Here is a 20,895-nt window from a genome sequence, read left to right as displayed (position 1 = left end):
GACTGAAATGTGAATGGTGACTCCAAGATTCATGCAGTGCCCTACCCGTACAACAGTGCTCCACAGCCACATTTACCCTAACTTCCCACTTCCCCAATCCCCACCCTTTTTTTTGAGACAGAGTCTCACTCTGTCACCCAGGATGGAGTGCAGTGGCACAATCGCACTGCAGCCTCAAGTGCCCAGCTATTTTTCATATTTTTCATAGAGATAGGGTCTTGCAATATTGTCCAGGCTGGTCTTGAACTCCTTGGGCTAGTCTTCCCCAAGTGCTGAGATTACAGGCATGAGCCACTGCACCCGGCCCCTACCTCTCTTTCTGATGGCTGCTTAGAAGCAGGAGCATTTCGGGAGTGGGAAGGAACTAGAATCTGGGGACAACTGCTTGGTGCTGGGGGAATCAGAGTGCAGGCCCCAGGTTTGTGCTCAGACCCCACCTGCTTAATTGCCTCCACTAACGTGACAGTCTTGCCGGTGCCTGGAGGCCCAAAGATGATGTAGGGGGCTGGACGGGTGGTGCCCGTAACAATGTGCCTCATGGCCTGCAGCTGCTCTGGGTTTGACTCCAGACTCCGGTCGTACAGCCTGGCAGAGGGACCAGGAATGTGAACTTGAAGTCATCCAGTGACCCAGAGGCCTCCCTGACTCCACCCCCTGTGCCCACACTCCAAGTGGCTCCAGAAGCTCCCTGCCCACAGTCTCACTTGAGTTTCACATCTGAGGGCAGCAGCGGGACGTCCCGAGGTGCCACAGGAAAGAGCATGGGCCACAGCAGCCAGCGCCCTGTCAGCTCCAGGGCACGGTGCTGGACTCGCAGCGGCTGGCGGTTGAAGGTAAAGTTCACCTTGAAGGTCAGCCCATCCACAAAGCGGCTCAGGAGGCTTTGGGCAGAGAGAGGTGGTAAGAGTTTGTTGGGGCAGGGGAGGTGGGCAATAAAGGGCCAGAACTTTCTCCACCAACCAGTGTCCCAACCCCTCTTTCCAAGACCTCTATGCAAGTTCTCTAGAAGAGGAAGCTGCCGTAGCATCTCAGGGTACCCCTGAGGAAAAGTCTCCTGCTCTGCCCCGGGGTCTCATTTATCTCAGGGAGAAACACTCCTCCTCCCCTGGGGTCAGAAGTCTGTAGACCCTTCCAGCAGCTCAGGGTTCCCCCAACACCCACCTCATGGAAAAGCTCAGCTTGACACGGTCCAATTCCACCTTGTGCACAAAGCCCTTATATGTGATGGGGTCCTCCTGGTGTGTCTCCGAGGACAAAAGGGCAAACAGGTGGTCGCCCCGTAGCACTGAGGGGCGGCTCTCAGTCACTCCAGGAACCTATGGGGTGTGAACACAAGCAAGCTTCTGTCCCAGGGATGGACGCTGGAGGGCCCAGCCCCCAGGTTCCCCAGACCTTTAAGGGACAAGGACTGAGACTGGCCTTCTAACCTAAGACTCAGGGAGTTATGCTATCCCTGCACCCCTCTTTCCTTTCATACCAGCAGGAGTCAGGGGAAGAGGAAGAAGACAAATCCTCCGAAGCTGCCCAGAGATGCCGAGCCCAGGAACCCGGAGCCTCCAGTGCAGCTGCCCTCTTGGCCAGCTCAGTTCCTGCTCTGCCTATAAAAATCCTGTTCATCAGTTAATCGGGTTGCTAAAAAAATAATTAAAAAAAAAAAAAAAAAAAAACGGACCAGGCATGGTGGCTCACGCCTGTAATCCCAGCACTTTGGGAGACTGAGGCAGGCGGATCACTTGAGTCCAGGTGTTGCGAGACCAGCCTGGCCAATGTGGCAAAACCCCATCTCTACAAAAAATACAAAAATTAGCCAGGCGTAGTGGGGCATGTCTGTGGTCCCAGCTACTTGGGAGGATCACTTGAGCCCGGGCGGCGGGGATTAAAGCGAGCCAAGATCATGCCATTGCACTCCAGCCTGAGCACCAGGGTGAGACCCTGTCTCAAAACAAAAACAACAACAACAAAAAACTTGTTCAAAACTCACTTCCTGCAGTAATCTTTCCTTGAACAAACTCACCCTCTAATTCCCACCTGCAATTGTGTGTAGAAATCCATTCTCGTGTGTAATTTTGGGCTTATATGCACACATTGAAAATCCAAGAGCCAGAAAGAGCTCTAAGAATTATCCAGTCCAGCTCTGTGCTTTTCAGATAAGGGAACTAAGGCTTAGAGAAAGCCAGGGACTTACCCAAGGTGGTAGCAAAGCCTGGACTAGAACCCAGATCTTCCCCATTTCCCTGCTCCAACACATCTTTGGGCACAGGATGCCCACCCTGCTTCTTGCGGAGCCCTGGGAACCACTTCAACTTTCCTCTTGTTCTGCCCTGCTGTCAGGAATAGTTCTGCCCACAGCCTCTAGCTTGGCTGGCTTGAGCCCACCCTCCTCACACTCAATCTGAGCCCTGACCTCCAGCGTGAGCAGCCTGGGGTTCTGGTCCACAGGGTCCCAGGTCATGGGCACCGACTCCAGGTCATAGTGCCGGATATCATGCTCCATCTGCAGTTCCTCCAGGTGCAGCAGCAGCCGCAGCTTCACCTCATAGTTCCTCCACTTCAGGGCTGTCTCCAGCTGGGCCCTGGAAATGATGGTTGGGAGGGGTGAGTGGGGGCAGGAACAGGATGGGCCAGACAACCCCTATGCCCAGGAGTATCCACCTTCTCCCACCTGAAGCTCTGGAACTAGCGTCAAAAAGCAGAGAAGACTAGAGGGATACAGAAGTGGATGAGAGTCAGAGGCCCTGAAGAAGGAAGCCTTGGCTCCTGCTTCCTTGGATGCCCCTGCCCCCACCTCACCCGACTTGCATTTGCATGGTGGCTCTTATGGCCAGAACATTCTCCTCCAATCCTCTCATGACTCCCACCCTCACCTCATTCAAATGTCCTTCTCTGTTCAAACATCACTACCTCAAACAGGCCAGGACTAACTGGCCTTCTGCAAAGCAGCACCAACCCATTCCCTAACCCTGCTTTAGTTTCAGTATAGTTCTGTTCATCTTTTTTAGAGACAAGATCTTGCTCTGTCACCCATGCTGGAGTGCAGTGGCATGATCTGGGCTCACTCACTGTGTCCTCAACCTCCTGGGCTCAAGAAATTCTCCCACCTCTGCCTCACAAGTAGCTGGGACTACAGACATGTGCCACCACACTTGGCTAATTAAAATTTTTTTTTGTAGAGACAGAATCTCACTATGTTGCCCCAGGCTGGTCTTGAACTCTTGGGCTTAAATGATCCACCTGCCTCGGCCTCCCAAAGTGCTGAGATTACAGGCATGAGCCACTTACACCTGACCTGTTTAGTTCTTCACAGCACTCATCACTCCATGAAATTGTAACAAAAATGCTCATTGTCCCCCATTAAAATGAGCCAGGCCTTCATTTGACTGGTTCACCTTGAATGGTGCTTGGTGTATGGTGCGTGCTCAGTAAGGGAATGAATGAATACAGCCTGGGAGGCTGAGGACGGAGGTGCCAGGGCAATGCAAAGAAGCCAGTAGGTAAAAGACGGGAGAGTGCGGGGTGCAGAGGGATGGTACTTACTTGATCTCTGCGATCTCCTTAGGGGCAGTGAAGATACTTGTTCCCTGAAGAAGCATGGGGAGCAGCTGCCTGAGGCGGGGAGGTGGGTAGTATGTCCCCAGCGCCATACTTAACTCCAGGTCATAGCCCTTAGCGCTGCAGAATCGAGGGAAGAAAACACAGAAAACCCCTCACCCTCCAACACTCTGAGAACGCCCCTCTGGGGTGGATGCACAAAGCCCTCCTGCAATCCTACTGCTGAAGGGAAGTCAGCAGCCTCGCTCCAAGGGTGGACTACTCTCATTTTTGGAACATGCGATACTTGGAAACCTTTAAAACTATTATCTAAGTAATAAATGATCACTAGAGAAAAAAATCAGGTAATAGGTAATAAGTAAATATCATTCTTACCATCCAGGAATAACCAATGTTAACTACCAGACTTTTTTCCCTGTAAGTTTCTGTTATACATATATAGTCAACAAAAAGAGCACAATGGTCTGTGAAGGTCCTATTATGTAGTTTGCTTTTTTTTCTTTTTTGAGTCCCACTCTGTTGCCCAGGCTGAAGTGCAATGGCGCAATCTCGGCTCACTGCAACCACCGCCTCCCAGGTTCAAGCAATTCTCCTGCCTCAGCTCCTGAGTAGAGTAGCTGGGACTACAGGCATGCGCCACCACACCCGGCTAATTTTTTTGTATTTTTAGTAGAAATGGGATTTCACCATGTTGGCCAGGCTGATCTCAAACTCTTGACCTCAAGTGATCTGCCCGCCTCAGCCTCCCAAAATGCTGGGATTACAGGTGTGAGCCACCACACCCGGCTAGTTTGCTTTTATAACTCAGTATTTTGTGAACATCTAGCAAAAACAAAAAGAGATGTCTACACATATCCTACGCTTCCATCCATATGAAGTATCCAGCACAGAGAAATCTACAGAGACAGGAAGTAGATGAGCAGTTTCTTAGGGCTGAACAAAGTGGGTGGAGGATAAAAGGGTGATAGCTTTTTGGGATAATGAAATGTTCTAAAACCGATGGTGGTGATAGTGTCACATATTTGTGAATATACTAAAAAAATTACTGAATTGTGTAATTTAAATGGGTGAATCATATGGTATGTGAATTATCTCAATACAGCTGTTTAAAAAAACAGAGATGTTGGCTGGGCACGGTGGCTCGCCCCTGTAATCCCAGCATTTTGGGAGGCCGAGGCTGGCGGATCACTTGAGGTCAGGAGTTCGAGACCAGCCTGGCCAACATGGTGAAACCCCATGTCTACTAAAAATACAAAAATTAGCCGGGTGTTGTAGTGGGCGCCTGTAATCCCAGCTACTCAGGAGGCTGAGGCAGGAGAATTGCTTGAGCCCAGGAGGCGGAGGTTGCAGTGAGCTGAGATCACACCACCGCACTCCAGCCTGGGCGACAGAGCAAGACTCCATCTCAAAACAAAAACAAAAAACAAAACAAAACAGAGATGTCTACAATGATCTGCCTGATAATGCATCACACAGGGACAATGCCTAAAACTGTTTTCACTCTGTCCTCAGATCTGCAGTTCATCTGCAACTTTCTTCCTTGACAGAAAAATTCTCTGAGACCCAGAAGAGTGAAGAGCCTGTAGGAAAAGGGCTCTGGCTCCCAGCTCTGTGCTCTTCCCAAAGCCCTGGCCCATGTGGTTGAGATACGAGCCCAGCCAGGGCTGAGTTGGAGGGAGGAGTTACCGGTCAGGTCTCTCTCCTTCCTCTATCCGATTGGTCACCACAGGGTTTCCGGTGATCCGGGTCCGCTTGAAGGGAGTCATGGGCTTCAGCTGTGCAGCCAGGGGGCTGTGGGCGACGGCAGCCAAGAAGCGGGCAATGTAGAATGTGCCGGCTCCTTCTGAACCCGACTCCCCAGGTCCCAGCAGCTCCCAGAGCACTGTGGCTGGGAAGTAGCCCACAAAGCTGGTCTTACAATGGACATGGAGTTCATAGCATTCACCTGGAGGAGAATGGATGAGTGAATGGGGGTAGGGACCCTCCCACCCATATCCTTATCCCGGACACTCCCCCAGGAAGCCCCATCCCAAGGCAAGAGTCCCATGGACAGTGACAGTGTGTTTCCCAAAGCATAAGCACTGCCTGGGACAAGCCCCTGTCCACCAGCTCTTTCCTTTGGAAACTCACTCACCGGGGCCCAGTGGACAGGGCAACTCCTGGTCTTCATTGTAGAAAGCAAACTGGGGTGTCCGGCAGAGTGGGAAGAGGTGAGTGAGGGTAACAGACTGGGTTCCGCCATTCCGAAGCCTCAGGGTCAGCACCTCTTTGCGGTTCAAATCCAGGCGGATAAGGAGCTGCCCATCTCGGGCTTCATGGGGCCCCTGGACTTCCACATCCACACCATGTTTCCCATGAAGATACTCAGCCCTGGGGAGAAGGGGAGTCAAGGGGGGGTTGGGGTGGGAGCGGTCTGACTGGGGAGTTACCCTGGGGAAAGCTTTAGGCTTGGGAGGCAGGCAAAGTGCCAGCTGTGCTTAGGAAACTCACCCCCTCCCAGCAGACCAGTTCCCTGCCCTTCCCCCATTCCCTGAAGGAGGGGGACTTATTCCCACTTGTGTAACCCACTCTTTCCTCACACAGATAGCCCCCTTCCCTCACACCCTGCAGACCTCCCCGTACACACAACATACAACACACACACACCTGTCATAAAAGATCTTGGCTAGCAGTGACTTGTGGTGTTTGCTGATATCTGACCCCAGCTTCATTCTCCTCTTTTCTGGGAACCGCACGTCGGCCCAGCGGTCGAGTCTGAAGAACCTGACCCGAGTCTTGGTGACGTAGGCCAGATTTGCAATCTTCATTCCATACAGCATGGAGGAGAAGCCAGGGGCGGGGGTCCCAAAGCTGCCAGAAGCAGAGGAGACTGGGAAGTGAGGGAAGGCAGGGCTCGAGGGAGGCAGGGCGGCGGGTGGGAAAGGGCATCGGAGGGTCACTCTGTGCTGGACACACCAGCCCTGCTGTGGAGCAGGATGGGGCCCAGAGACAGAGAGACTCAGGCTGGGGATCGGAGGAATGTTTAATGTTTTCAGGGAAGGCAATGGGACTTCCCAAGGCAAAATACAGTTGTTTTAAACAGTGGGTTCTGGATTGTTCGTTTCTGAGGGGAAAAGCCCAATCACAGGCTGCTGACTGGAAGGACTGAGGGAAGACAGAGAAAGACATAAAGTTCTTTTTGTGGGGGAAACTGTTTGGGACAGAAAAGAAAATACAAACAACCCAGAAGAAAGAGCTGAGGCTAAGGGGAAGCGGAATGATTTGATTCAGAGGGGTGGATGTGGGGTCCAGCCTGTTGGTGAGGAGAGAAGGGATCAGAGACAGTACAGATGTCCAAGTGTGTGGGCAAGGTGGCTGATCAGACAGCAGTTTCCACCCGAAGTCATAGGGTGCAGGTGGAACCCAAGCAGGAAGGGAAAGGATCCTTCTCCAGAGATCAAATAGCCTGGCTTTGTGCCTAGAGAAGGTGAAGACAGGGAAAACTGGTCAGAAGGACAATAACCTCAAGGCTCAGTGCCTGGAGTTCAGTTCAGTCAATTCAACAAACACTTACGGAGGCCTGTTATGTGCCAGACACTATGCTGGATGCTAGGGGTTCAAAGATGCTAGAAACTCAGCGCTTGCCTCGAGGAGCACACAGACTGAACATATACATTCCAGCGTGGTGCTTGGAGGGCAGCTCATCGGCCACAGAGGGGCTCAGTGCCACAGAGGGACACTGAGCCCAGTCTGGGGGCAGAGGAGGTGTCCATGAAGGCCTTCCCAGGAGGCAGCATAAGAACTGAGTCCTGAGGATGAGTGGGCATTACCTGGGCACAAGAGGGAGCGCGAAGTGTAAGCAGATGTGAGAGGTACGCAAGAACATGTGCAGGGAGGGGCAGAGGGGGGCGGCCCACTTGACAACTCTAGCCAGGTCAGCTCAGTTGACCTCACCTCTCAGAGCCTCGCTTTCCTCCTCTATAAAATTGGAGGAAAGCGAGACTTACCTCGTAGGGTTGCTGTGAGGTTTACATGAGATTTTGACACGGCAGAGAACCACTTAGCACAGTGCTTGGCACATAGGAGACCTCAGTAAGGGTGAGCCATGATTAGTATCACATACAGTTTCATTGTGCTAGAGTGAAATGCACAAGGAAGGGAGTGGCAGGAGGAGCAGAGGTGGGCAGGGACCAGATCATGGACAGTTTTGCACAACAGGCCAAGCCTGGACTTGACTCTGCATGTCTGCAGTCGTTTTCCCCGCTCTACTGATACCCAGGAGCCTGAGGACATTCCCACGTGCCACATACTTCAGGGACATATTCAAGATCTAGATGACTGACACCCTCCCTTAAAAGCAAATCTTTGTTTATGAGGACTATGGTAATTCCTATTTAACTCTTCAGGCTAAATCATCATGGTCACTCACTAGGGTATGTGATAAGATCATTTATGGTTATGAGTATTTTTCAGGTGCCTGCTGCCTGTAACTCTGCCCCTCTCCTTCACCCCAAGCAAATGAGACTGGTACAATTTGGAAAACATTGAATTGGCTATGATTTGTTTTAAAAAGGTAATAAATCATTCAAAAGCATAATAGAAAATGCTCAGTAAATGTTAGCTACTATTGTTAGTATTTATATTAGTAGAAATAGTAGTACTAATAGTAGCAGTAGTAGTAGGAGTAGTAACAACTTACTTTCAGCCCACGTCAGAGGCTACACTGTGGTTACAGAACCACTGCGGTTGGTGGGTTTTAAGCAGGGGAGTGGCAAGATCATATTTGCATTTCAGATCACTCTGGCATCAGGATTGGAGGATGGATTTGCTGGAGGCAAGACTGTAGGCAGGGAGACCAGTTAGAAGAAGGCCCTTGCAATTGTCCAGTTAAAAGATAACAAAGGCCTGAGCAAGGCAGTGGGTAGAGATACAGAAGAAGAGCGGCAAGATTCGCTAATACTTAGAATGTAAAATTAGCAGAAATTTGGTGACTGACAGAAGGGGGAATGAAGGCTGGGAAGAGGGATGAGTCTAGGATCCCCAAATCAATGGCCTGGCTTCTAGGACTATCTCTGAGATAGGATGTAAGACAAGAGGAGGAGGGGTTGGAGGGACTGACCATGACATTTGGATTTGGATATGATGCGTTTGAGATTCCTGTGGTCCAGAGGCAACCAGCTCCACGAGTCAGAAGCTGAGAACTCAGGCCAAAGTCAAGGTTACAGCCTAGTATTAGGGAGTCCCCAGGTAGTGGTTATAATCAAGGAAGTGTAGGAATCTCCCCAGGGAGTGTGAGTAGTTGAGAGCAGCTACTAGCACAACCCGGGGAGGAAGGGAAAACAAGAAACCCTCAAGAGAGAAAGGAGAATCAGCAAAGTCTCAAAATCAGGTATCAGGATCAAAAGCTGCTGAGGGGTCCAGTAATACAGGGACTGAAATCAGGAGATCATCAGTAACTTTCACAAGGGCTTCTTAGAGTCCATCAAAGTCCCATGGATCGAGGCACAAGCTAATGCCTACAGCAGCTATGCTTCACAGGTATCTTGATCCTTGCAGCCCTTTCAGACACCTGTTCAGTCCATTTTTGAGAGTCACTAGTGTAAGAATACTGCATGCATATCCCTCACAACGCTAAGAAAACAAAGTGCAACCTCCAAGAAAAGTGGCTCCAGGCTCCCAGATCAATGCTGGGCAGAAAGAGGGCTTTGTGGGGACTGAACAAACTGGGAAGTGCATGCCCTGTCTGAAGCAGGTAACTGCTTATCTTCGAACGGGGCCAGTAGGGAATGCAGGCCCCGGATGGCCAGATCTGACTTTCAAGAAAAGACAAAATCAAAATTTTAACATGAAACCTCCTATTTTTGAAAACCTGCATGGCACAAGGGCAGACAGAACTCATCTCTGTAAAATTTCCAAATTCTACTGCAGATGCTATCCCTAAATATTTCTCAAATTATTCTCTATGTCTCTCATCACTACCCAAATTCACCTAACATTGGTCTAGGTAACAGTCATACAAAAATTATTTTTAAAAAATCACAAACTTATTATATTCTTGTCGGAAAAAAGCCCCAATCCTTGTATTATACATGTAATCCTCTATATTTATTTTATTTTATATTTTATTTTATTTTATTTTATTTTATTTTATTGAGACGGAATCTTGCTCTATCACCAGGCTGGAGGGCAGTGGCACGATCTTGGCTCACTGCAACCTCTGCCTCCCGGGTTCAAGTGAGTCTCCTGCCTCAGCCTCCTAAGTAGCTGGGACTACAGGTGCACGCCACCACACCCAGCTAATTTTTCTATTTTTAGTAGAGACAGAATTTCACCATGTTAGCCAGGATGGTCTCAATCTCTTGACCTCCTGATCTGCCCGCCTCGGCCTCCCAAAGTGCTGGGATTACAGGTGTGAGCCACCGTGCCCGGCCGTAATCCCCTATATTTCTAAGAAAAACTTTCTAACCAAGACTGGAAACCAGCAGCTATAAAATAAAACTAGGTCAAGTGTGGTGGCTCATGCCTGTAATCCCAACACTTTGGGAAGCTGAGGTGGTAGGACTGCTTGAGCCCAGGAGTTTGAGACCAGCCTGGGCAATAGTGAAAAAAAAAAAAAAAAAAAGCCAGGCATGGTGGTGCACACCTGTAGTCCCAGCTACTCAGGAGGCTGAGGCAGAAGGATCACTTGAGCCCAGGAGGTCAAGGCTGCAGTGAGCTGTGATTACGCCACTGCACTCCAGCTTGGTTAACAGAGCTTGGGTAACCCTGTCTCTAAAAAAGAAAACAAACATTTCTGACTACTAAAAAATATTTTCTCTAGCAAAAGGTAATATAAACACATTCAACAGATAAATACCAGATAAATACTCATAATGCAGATGACAGGCAAAGGGCTAATTTTTATAATATATAAATTTTCTTACAAATTGACAAGATGAACAATTCAACAGAAAAATCGAATATTCAATTAAAAGAACAGATCCAGATGGCCAAAAGAGTATGAAAAACTGCTCCAAATGTAGAGAAATGCAAATTAAAGTATAAATGAGATATTATTTTATTCCCATTAGACTGACAAAAATGAACATAGTTCTAGCATATATTACTATAATGGGTATGTGGAAAAGTGAACTCATAAATTGCTGGTAGAAGAGTCAAGTATTGCCATCTTTTGGGAAAACAATCTGGCAACATCTACAAATATTTAAAATACAGGTATCCTTTAAAACCCAGGGACTGTCCGGGCACGGTGGCTCACGCCTGTAATCCCAGCACTTTGGGAGGCTGAGGCGGGCGGATCACCTGAGGTCGGGAGTTTGAGACCAGCCTGACCTGCATGGAGAAACCCATTTCTACTAAAAATAGAAAAAATTAGCTGGGCATGGTGGCAGGCACCTCTAATCCCAGCTACTCAGGAGGCTGAGGCAGGAGAATCGCTTGAACCCAGGAGGCGGAGGTTGCAGTGAGCTGAGTTCGCGCCATTGCACTCCAGCCTGGGCAACAAGAACCAAACTCTGTCACAAAAAAAAAAAAAAAAAAAAAATCCCAGGGACTGGGCATGGTGGCTCACGCCTCTAATCCTAGCACTTTGGGAGGCTGAGGTGGGAGGATCACTTGAGCCCAGGAGTTTGATATCAGCCTAAGAAACATAGCAGGTCCCTGTCTCTACAAAGAATTAAAAAAAAAAATTAGTCAGGTGTGGTGGCACACCCCTGTAGTCCCAGCTACTCAGGAGGCTGAGGTGTGAGGATTGCTTGAGCCCAGGACTTTGAGGTTACAGAGAGCTATGATTGCAGATCTGCACTCCAGTCTGGGCAACAGAGCAAGACCCTGACTCAAAAAATAAAATAAAATAAAATTTAAATTTAAAAGATAAAACAAAACCCCACAAAACCCAGTAACACTGTTCCTGGAATGTGTCCCATGGGAAGAAAAGTACCAATGTATAAAGACATATGTGCAAGGATACTTACTGCAGAGTCACTCACAGTGGTCAAGAATTGAAAATTAAACAAATGCCCATCAACAGAGTGAAAGGTGAACACATTGTAAGCACTCATACCGTGGGATATTATGCAGCCATTGAAAAGATGTACCACACCCACTCAAATGGCTAACATTTAAAAGGCTCACAATACGAAACACTGGTAAGGATACGGAACAACCAGGCCAGGCACAGCGGATCATGCCTGTAATCCTAGCACTTTGGAAGGCTGAGGTAGGAGGATCACTTCAACTGAGAAGTTCAAGACCATCCTGGGAAACATAGCAAGACCCTGTTTCTACAAAAAAATTAAGAAATTAGCTGGGCCCTTGAGGCTGCAGTCTGCCACAATTGTGCCACTGCACTCCATCCTGGGTGACAGAATGAGATTTTGTCTCAAAAAAATAAAAAATACAACAACCCAAACTCTCATGCATTGTTTGTTGGTCTGTAAAATGGTTTAAGCACTTTGGGAAAAGGTCTAATAGTTCCTTGTAAAACTAAACATATGCCTATCCTATGACTCAAAAATTCCACTCCTAGTTACATCCCAAAAGAAATTAAAATGTAAGTCCACAAAATGACTTGTATAAGATGTTCCTGGCTGGGCACGGTGGCTCACGCCTGTAATCCCAGCACTTTGGGAGGCCAAGGCGGATGGAACACTTGAGGTCAGGAGTTCGAGACCAGCGTGGCAAACACAGTGAAACCCCGTCTCTACAAAAAAAAAAAAAATTAGCCAGGCGTTGTGGCAGGCACCTGTAATCCCTGCTACTCAGGAGGCTGAGGCGGGAGAATTGCTTGAACCTGGGAGGTGCAGGTTGCAGTGAGCCAAGATCATGCCATTGCACTCTAGCCTGGGCAACAGAGCAAGACTCCGTCTCAAAAAAAAAAAAAAAAGATGTTCCTAGGAGCTTCATTCAGAAGAGCCCCAAACTAAAAACACTGTCCATAAACAGGGGAATAAATATACAAACTGTGATTTGGATTCATACAATGGAATACTACTAAGTGATAAAAAAGAAACTACTGATACATTGTGGATGAATCTCAAAAACATTACGCTAAGTGAAAGTTGCCTTACACAACAGTACATACTATATGATTCCATTAAATGAATTTCTAGAACAGGTACTGTCATGAAAAAATCAGAGCAGTGGTTGCTTCTGGGTGAGTAAGAGTGAGGACTGACTAGGAAAGGGCACGAGGGAGCTTTCTGGAGTGATGTGATGTTCTGTACCTCAACAGGCGTTTGCACACAGATATATGCATTTGTTAAACCTCACAGAACAGTACACTTACAATTTGAACATTTTGCTGTTTGCAAATTTTGCTTAAAGGCCCGGCACAGTGGTTCATACCTGTAATCCCAAAAGTTCAAGACCACCCTGCACAATATAGACAGACCCCATCTCCACAAAAAATGAAAAATTAGCTGGGCATAGTGGCACACGCCTATGGTCCCAGCTACTCAGGAGGCTGAGGTGGGAGGATAGCCTGAGTCTGGGAGGTTGAGGCTGCAGTGAGCTATGTTCATGCCACTGTACTCCAGTCTTGACAACGGAGCAAGACCTTGACTTAAAAAAACAAAAAACCAAAACCCAAACAACAACAACAAAAAACCCATGGCCGGGCGCGATGGCTCACGCCTGTAATCCCAGCACTTTGGGAGGCCAAGGCGGGTGGATCACCTGAGGTCAGGAGTTCAAGACCAGCCTGGCCAACATGGTGAAACCCCGTCTCTACTAAATACAAAAAATTAGCTGGGCATGGTGGCGCATGCCTGTAGTCCCAGCTACTTGGGAGGCTGAGGCAGGAGAATTGCTTGAATCCCAGAGGCGGAGGTTGCAGTGAGCCAAGACTGCGCCATTGCACTCCAGCCTGGGTAACAAGAGCAAAACTGTCTAAAAAAAAAAAAAAACCCATAAACAATTTTTTTTTATTTCTAGGCAAACATAACATAAATTTTGAACTCTAGCTGATAATAATCACGCTAAATAATTAATAATAATTTGTTGGAGTGAAGTGTACTGATGTCTGTAACTTATTTTGAAATGCATCAGGAAAATTAAGATGACTTGCTAAATGAATAGCGGGATGGATCTATGGGCAGATATGTGTAAAACGTTAAAAGAAATCTAGGTAAGGGTATGTGGATGTTCACTGTAGATTCATTTCAACTTTTCTTTATGTTTAAAATTTATTATAGTATGATATTGGGGAAAAAATCCCAACAATGCATTAGAGGTCTATGCCATATGCCTACGAGTGATTCCCATCACACAGTTGAGAGAGTAGGACGTGGATGATGTGAATAACATGATTCTTTTGACAGAGTCTTGGTCTGTCGCCCGGGCTGGTGTGCAATGGCGCCATCTTGGCTCACTGCAACTTCCGCCTCCCGGGTTCAAGTGATTCTCCTGCCTCAGCCTCCCGAGTAGCTGGGATTACAGGCGCCCGCCACCACGCCCAGCTAATTTTTTGTATTTTTTAGTAGAGACGGGGTTTCGCCATGTTGGCCAGACTGGTCTCAAACTCCTGACCTCAGGTGATCCACCCGCCTTGGCCTCCCAAAGTGCTGGGATTACAGGTTTGAGCCACTGAGCCCGGCCAAACATGATTCTTTTTAAATAAAACAATGACTAAAAAAACCACCCTGATTGATATCAAGAGGTACCTGAGTACAGGGCGGAATGTGGAAATGGAGGTTGGATGCCCATAAGGGGAGGGGTCCACAATAAAAATGATATGTGATAATGATCCCACGTGTGTAAACTTATGTAGGTGTGATATAAGCATGCCTGCAAAAAGAGATAAATGAACCGGGTGCAGTAGCTCACGCCTGTAATCCCAGCACTTTGGGAGGTCAAGGCAGGTGATCACCTGAGGTTAGGAATTCAAGACCAGCCTGACCAATATGGTGAAACCTCGTCTCTACTAAAAATACAAAAATTAGCCAGGCATGGTGGTTCACGCCTGTAATCCCACCTACGTGGGAGGCTGAGGCAGGAGAATTGCTTGAACCCGAGAGGTGGAGGTTGCAGTGTGCTGAGATCGTGCCACTGCACTCCAGCCTAAGTGACAGAGAGAGATTTAAAAAAAAAAAAAAAAAAAGAGATAAATGAAAAGGTGATCACCAAAAGTTTTTTTTTTTTTTTTTTTTTTTGAGACGGAGTCTCACTCTGTCGCCCAGGCTGGAGTGCAGTGGTACAATCTCGGCTCACTGCAAGCTCCGCCTCCCGGGTTCAGGCCATTCTCCTGCCTCAGCCTCCTGAGTAGCTGGGACTACAGGCGCCCGCCACCACGCCCAGCTAATTTTTTGTATTTTTAGTAGAGATGGGGTTTCACCGTGTTAGCCAGGATGGTCTCGATCTCCTGACCTCGTGATCCGCCCACCTCTGCCTCCCAAAGTGCTGGGATTACAGGCGTGAGCCACCGCGCCCGGCCCAAAAGTATTTTTAAAACATTTAAACAAGTATCTAACATAAAACATTAAAGCCCTTAATTCCCTTGCTTCCAACTACTTGCTTGATTAGGAGCAATTAATTAAACCCACTATTTGATGTATGTTTTTCCTGATTTTTTTCTATGCATATAAAACACAATAATGAGATGATACATGCTACACATACTATTCTGCAGCAGGCGTCTTCCCACCATGGATCTTCTCCCATAACAATGCTTTACAGAACCACCATGACCTTTTGAATGGCTACAAAAGATAGCATGTATGAATGCATCATGGTGTGTTTTTTTCTCTAGTGATAGACAAGCTGCCTGAAATTTCTGGCTACTCCTAATGTTACAATAACTATCCTTGCACACAAACCCTTGTACTTGTAGGCAAGTCTAATGGGATAAATTCCTTAAAGTACAACACCTGGGTCAAAGAGAATGAACCTTTACAACTTTGATAAGTTCTGCCAAATTGTCCTTTAAACAGGTTGTACAAATTTATGTTCTCACTAACAAGAGTTAGAAAATGCCCTTTTCCCAAAGCTCTAACATCAGAAATTTTCAATGTTTTAAATTTTTGACAATTTGATTACAAAAACTCCTATCTTTTTAAACTGTGCATTTCTCTGATCACCAATATAGTCAAGGATCTTTCCTTCTTTTATTAGTCATTTATATTTCTTCTGTGAGCTGCCTGATCATACCCCTTGCTCAATTTTCTAGGTTCCAGTTAACTGTTCTCCCTACCTCTGGCTTCATACCCCTACACTAGGCCACCCCCTATATCTGCAGAATTGTCATCAAACACAAATCTGATCTTGTTCCCTCAATTTACAACTCCATAGTCCACAAAATTAAGTCTTTAATATGGCACCTTCCAAGATCCTCCATAGTAACAACGATAATGCAAATACAATAACATCAACAGAAAACGTTTCCTGAATGCATTATCTCATTCAATCCTCAAAACAACCCTTTGAGGTAGTAATTATTATCATCCCATTTTAGAGAAAAAGAAATTGAGGTACACATCCTCAACCACACTTGGCCTCTTGTCAATCCATCCTTATTTCAGCCATTCCCAACTACTTGTATCACTGTGCCCCTCTGCAGACTTCTGTGCTGTGGACATCCTTAGCCTGCACTGCCCTGCCTTAGGCCGCCCCTGCTGTTTGTTGGGTGAACAATGGCTAATCTTTTTAGACCCAGTTCAGGAAAGGCCAAAAGCTAGAGGAATGGTATTTCAGCACATATGATCAGATTTGGAAGTGATCTTAAAGAGACATCTAGTTTCACAATCTATAGACTATGGATTCCAACTCCCATTAGCGGGTCAAAGCCAGGGTTTTTATAAAATTGAAATAAAATAGAATAAAAAATATCAGAGAGCAGGGAGTGAAACTATGTATTGTTTCAAGGGCAGGCATTGTTTTGTGAAGGTTGTGTATGCCAGGTCCCAAAGTAAAATGTGTTTTTTACTGTGGGTAGAGGTCCAACCACCAAGCCACTCTCCACGCCAGAAGCCAGAATGATCTTTCTAAATCTGATTACGTCAGACTCTTACTTTGAAATTTTCTGTGTTTTCCTATTTCCATTAAGATTAAAGACAAAACAAAACACCTCACAATGCCTACCCAGGGCCCTGCTGGTCTCCCGTTCTTCTGAGGTCATCCCAAGCCTTTGAAGGTGCTGTTCCTGCCTGTACACTCTACCCTTGCCCTTTACACCTTCTAAGTCCCATTAATCCTTCAAGATTCTACTCAAATATCACTTTCCCCAAGAAACCTCTGCCTAAGTTTCTTGATCTAGTCTAGGTTGCTAGACTAGGACAGATCTCCAAATTATATACTCTCAATGCATACTGGACTTTTCTGTACAAGCACTCATCACAACCGTAATTAAATAATTATCTAACTGCTGCCTCCTTCCTTAGTTAGTTGGGTTCCTTTTGTATATTTCTAGCAACTCACTTTTGCTTTGCCATTCATAGGAAGCACTCAGCCAGTACTTGTAGAAGAATGAGTCTCCTGTCCAAAGCAAGAATCATCTTCTCTCAGAAACCTTTTCGTGACATCAGTCCTTACCCCATACAATGGACTCCTAATCATCATCGCACTAATGAGGGGTACCACTTAACAAAGCCAGTGTAATATGCTAGCCACACAAATGCTTTGCCTAGGACAACTCATTTTGGTCTCTCACAACCCCGAGAGAAAGGTACTATTTTACATACTCTTACAGTTGGGGAAATGGAAAATTTAGAGAGTTGTTCAAAGTTAAATGCAACCACTAAATGGCAGGGCTATCTAAACACCATTACTAGCACCTATACTACTGTATTGCATTTGTTTGTCTACACATATCTGCTGCTCTTTACTAGATTATATTCTTTGGAGGCAAGGACCAAGGCACAGGCACACAGTAGAGCCTCATTAACTATATTTGCTAAATGAATAAAGGTAGGTGGGAAAAGGCAAGAGTTCAGAGCAGAGCACTTTATAACATCATAAAATAACCTAGCTGGAGAGACCTATCCCCTCTCAGTGTAGGAATCTCCTAGAATTCCTAAAGAGTGTGACTTGCTATACCCCCCGCTATATGGCCCATTCTCTTGTTAGTTAACTCTAGTTGCTAGTTCACTTAGATTCTGCAAGCATTTATTGAGCATCTACTACATACAAAGCTCTATGCTGGGGACTGCAGACAGATATAAACCTGACTAAAGGTAGAGGATCTAGCATTTGCGTGGCTAGCATAATACACTGGCTTTAGCATATTACAATGATTTGGTACCAGGAGGAGATGACCACGTGCCATAAAGCAGAGTGTAACGTGACCATAATACCAGGCTATACCCAAGGTATAAAGAATGAGCCATGAGAGCCCAGAGAAAAAGCAAGTAATTCCTACTGGGAAATGAAGGTTGACTTCACAGCATTCCAGCCTGGCTTTAAAGGATGTGTAGGCAAGTTCTTTAATCTGAACATACATTTCCCCAACATGATGAGGGTACAGAGCGGGGATAGTTGATGAAACCCGCTTCTGTCTTCTGGAGTGACACAGGAGTGCAATCTTATCCATTATAACACTCCAAAATAGTCAAGGATAATTACCTTGTACTGTCTGATTTTTCTATTTTTGAGGCAAATATTTCTGAGTTTCTTTCACTGGGTCTCAGGATAGAATATGAACCCACATAGAAGGCCTTTCCACCTCCTCTATGTACTAAAATTTTATCTCTTTCAAGGCTAAAGTCAATGCCATCTTCTCCATCACATCCCCTAATGATTACAGAGGAGTGGTATCTTATCTGCATAAACACAAGTGCATACAGTAAAAACTACTTTGGAAAATGCCTACATTCACCCATAATATACAGTATATCTGGCTTTCTGTATGCAATCCAACACAACCAGTTTTTCCCCAGTACTAAAACATACTATGTACCTTTGGTTTAGAGCTGACAAAGACTCTCCTTGATCAAACTTTTGTTAGACTCCCCTGAGCCCTCTTTTTGACTAGCCCTTGACCTTGCCTCCCCAAACCCTTCAGTCTTAGGCCCACCTAGTTCAGTTTTAGCAAGAATACTGAAGTCATTTTAGTGAGACTCCTCACCCTTGATGCATGACCACGCTTGATATCTGATCAAGTTCCTCATTCCCGCCTTTGATGTACAAGTCCTTGGTCTGCCTTTAACAAGAATCTTGTTAGGTCAGGTGAGCAAAAATCCTCCCACTCTTTATGACTCCTCTTAGTAATTTTCTATATATTGATCCCCTTACTCTGTTCATTGGTCATAAATCCCCCGCTGTTTTTGCTGTATTCGGAATTGAGCTCCAACTCTCTTCTTTCCTATTGCAATACCCTATTACCATAGCCTTGAGTCAAGTCAGCCTTACTGTTTTAACCAATTACTTTTTCCTTAACAGAGCCAAAAGAAGTAGGTGACTTGTTTCCTAGCCATGTTGTACTCTGTGGATATAGGTGAATTCACATACCTTAAGTGTTGATACCATGTGATGCAAATGCTCGCTCTTTCCTCCAGCATTTTTCTCTTACCATCCCTAGTATAATCCTCCATTTTACCATGTACTATCCTATATTGTGTACATGTATATTGCATGCATATCATAGCCTCTGATGCTCCTCTGGGATTGTGTGTTTTTCATCTTAAGAGTCCCCATAGTGTCCAGCATGGTGACATAAAACAGGGCCTCATCATCTTTGCCCCTTCTCAGATGTTGTTCAAGCCTGTTAATATCCCTCTCCAAATGTGATAACCATTAGTGAAAACGATATTCCAGACACGATTTCACCAATATGGAGAGTCTCTACCCTTTTCCCCCACCCCAAATCACACTTCTGTTAGCTCAATCTTAGACTTCAGCTGTTTTAGCAGCCATATCTCACCCATACTGGCCCTCTGGTCTGCTAAAACCCAAGGTCTTTTTCGGGAGGTCTGTTATTAAGCCCAGATTCCCACTACCTTATGTTTATTTGTACAAGTCTTTACGTTTACCCTTGTTAAACTGCTTCTTGGTTTTCCACGCAAGGCAGCAGCCTGTTGATAAACGTGTTTTTGAAGCACAATTCTGTGGTGTGACAGAAGACTCTTTGATTTTCACTTGGGTGGTAGCAGGAAAAGGAGACCAAAGAGCCTTCAGCCACAGGGTGAAAGGGAGCCTCCAGAAGGCTGGCTCTGCCCCTGGGTCTCCATGGAGAAGCCACAGGTGCTAATGGAGGTTTGGTACGCACGTAGTTTGTGCCCTTTTCTTCTTTCCAGAGCTTCCTGAGCTTCTCCCTTCTACCCTGGGCCTCTTCAGTTCTCCCAGATAGCGGACCCCCGAGGCAGCAGCGCCTCAACAAGGTGGCAGAGGTCCCTGTAAAGCCCGCGCTCGGGCTCGCAGCCCCCAACAGGCAGCCTCTAACCCGCGCTCCCGCGATGCCTGGGCCCCCTCTGGAGGCTCCCCTCCCCCACCGCGAGCGCTGTCCCTCAGCCCCCGCGAGCGGCGCATGGACGCGGGACGCAGCTCCCGGCCCCGGGTTCCGGCCTCCGGGGGCGCGGGCAGCGCGGGAGGCTCTCCGCGGCGACTTGGCGCAGGGGCCCAGCTCGGGCAGAACTGGCGGGCTCCGGGCGGCGCTGGTGGGGCGTGGGCGAGGCGCGGGAGGGGAGGTCTGCGCCGCCCCGGGACTGGCCTGAGCCGCTGGGGGAGCTGCGTCCCTCTGCGCCCCGGGGCGGGAAAGGTGGCCCTCGCGCGGGGGTCGTGGCAGCAAGCTGGGCCCGCGATTCGGGGCCGGGAGTGGGCCGGCCCGTACCTGATCTTGAAGTCGCGGTTATAAATGGTCCGCAGCCGCTCGCGATCTGTCTCCATGTCCAGTCCCCGAACGACCAGGAAACTCTCGAAACACTGGCCCGCCTCCCGGAGCTGCCGGCAGCTGAACTTACTGGGCATCGCGGCGGCGGCTGCGGCCCAGGCAGGAGGGTCCGTGGAAATGAAACTGAAAGTCGCCGCTGCAGCTGGAAGTTGGCGGCCCTGAGATGAGGGTGCAGCAGGAGGGAAGCCCCCTAACTCTGACCCCTGATCCTGCGGGCTCCCTTCTCCCCACCAGGCTTCCCTCCTCCGTTCTTTTCTTACCTGAGCTTTCCCTTCGGTTTCTTCGTCCTATCCCCTCCCCCTCTTCGCATTAACTCTTTCCTAAAGCGTCTGACCCCTCCCTCAGGGCCCTCCCCTTACCCCAAGCTCCCTCCCCTGGCTTCTAGCCAGTATCAGAACGTGGCTACCGCTTGGGGCCCTCTGAACAGCCCGGGAGGACCTCCGAGCCTCAGCCAGGGCTACCCTCACGCCCACCCTCCAGAGCCTCGGGACTCAGTGAAAAGCAGGAGAGCAAAGGGCAGGGCTGGGATCTAGGTCGGCTGCGGCCGGAAT

General features: G+C 47.6%; 1 protein-coding gene across 14 annotated transcripts in view, besides 2 other annotated features; it reads right to left on the bottom strand.

The window, feature by feature from the left end:
* MOV10 (Mov10 RNA helicase) overlaps positions 1-20,895 on the bottom strand; it is a 26,301-nt gene extending 5,406 nt beyond the window's left edge. For 4 of the 14 annotated variants that reach the window (XR_007060173.1, XM_047421080.1, XM_047421082.1 and 1 more), the window contains exons 1-10: positions 20,605-20,895; positions 20,285-20,486; positions 6,196-6,399; positions 5,684-5,919; positions 5,236-5,494; positions 3,535-3,669; positions 2,405-2,573; positions 1,162-1,316; positions 705-881; positions 438-585 (exon numbers count right to left, since the gene is read on the bottom strand). Coding sequence is in view for 13 of the 14 variants with exons in the window: in XM_047421080.1 (XP_047277036.1) it covers positions 438-585; positions 705-881; positions 1,162-1,316; positions 2,405-2,573; positions 3,535-3,669; positions 5,236-5,494; positions 5,684-5,919; positions 6,196-6,399; positions 20,285-20,421 (1,620 nt within the window). In the remaining variant the exon portion in view is untranslated. The other 10 variants (NM_001286072.2, NM_001389562.1, NM_001389563.1 and 7 more) reach the window with 10 other exon arrangements.
* Positions 2,480-2,980: an enhancer, noted in NCBI's record as "H3K4me1 hESC enhancer chr1:113234976-113235476 (GRCh37/hg19 assembly coordinates)". NCBI's record gives its function as "activates a minimal SCP1, AML or CMV promoter by ChIP-STARR-seq in primed H9 embryonic stem cells {active_cell/tissue: H9 hESC(primed)}" and the evidence as "EXISTENCE:reporter gene assay evidence [ECO:0000049][PMID:30033119]".
* Positions 19,875-20,274: a silencer, noted in NCBI's record as "silent region_1202". NCBI's record gives its function as "represses an Ori minimal core promoter by ATAC-STARR-seq in GM12878 lymphoblastoid cells {active_cell/tissue: GM12878}" and the evidence as "EXISTENCE:reporter gene assay evidence [ECO:0000049][PMID:35858748]".

The sequence above is a fragment of the Homo sapiens genome, chromosome 1 (genome assembly GCF_000001405.40).
Source record: "Homo sapiens chromosome 1, GRCh38.p14 Primary Assembly".
Taxonomy (NCBI): Eukaryota; Metazoa; Chordata; class Mammalia; order Primates; family Hominidae; genus Homo; species Homo sapiens.
Note: the sequence above shows the minus strand (reverse complement) of the source record. Positions and strands in the feature narration are given on the sequence as shown.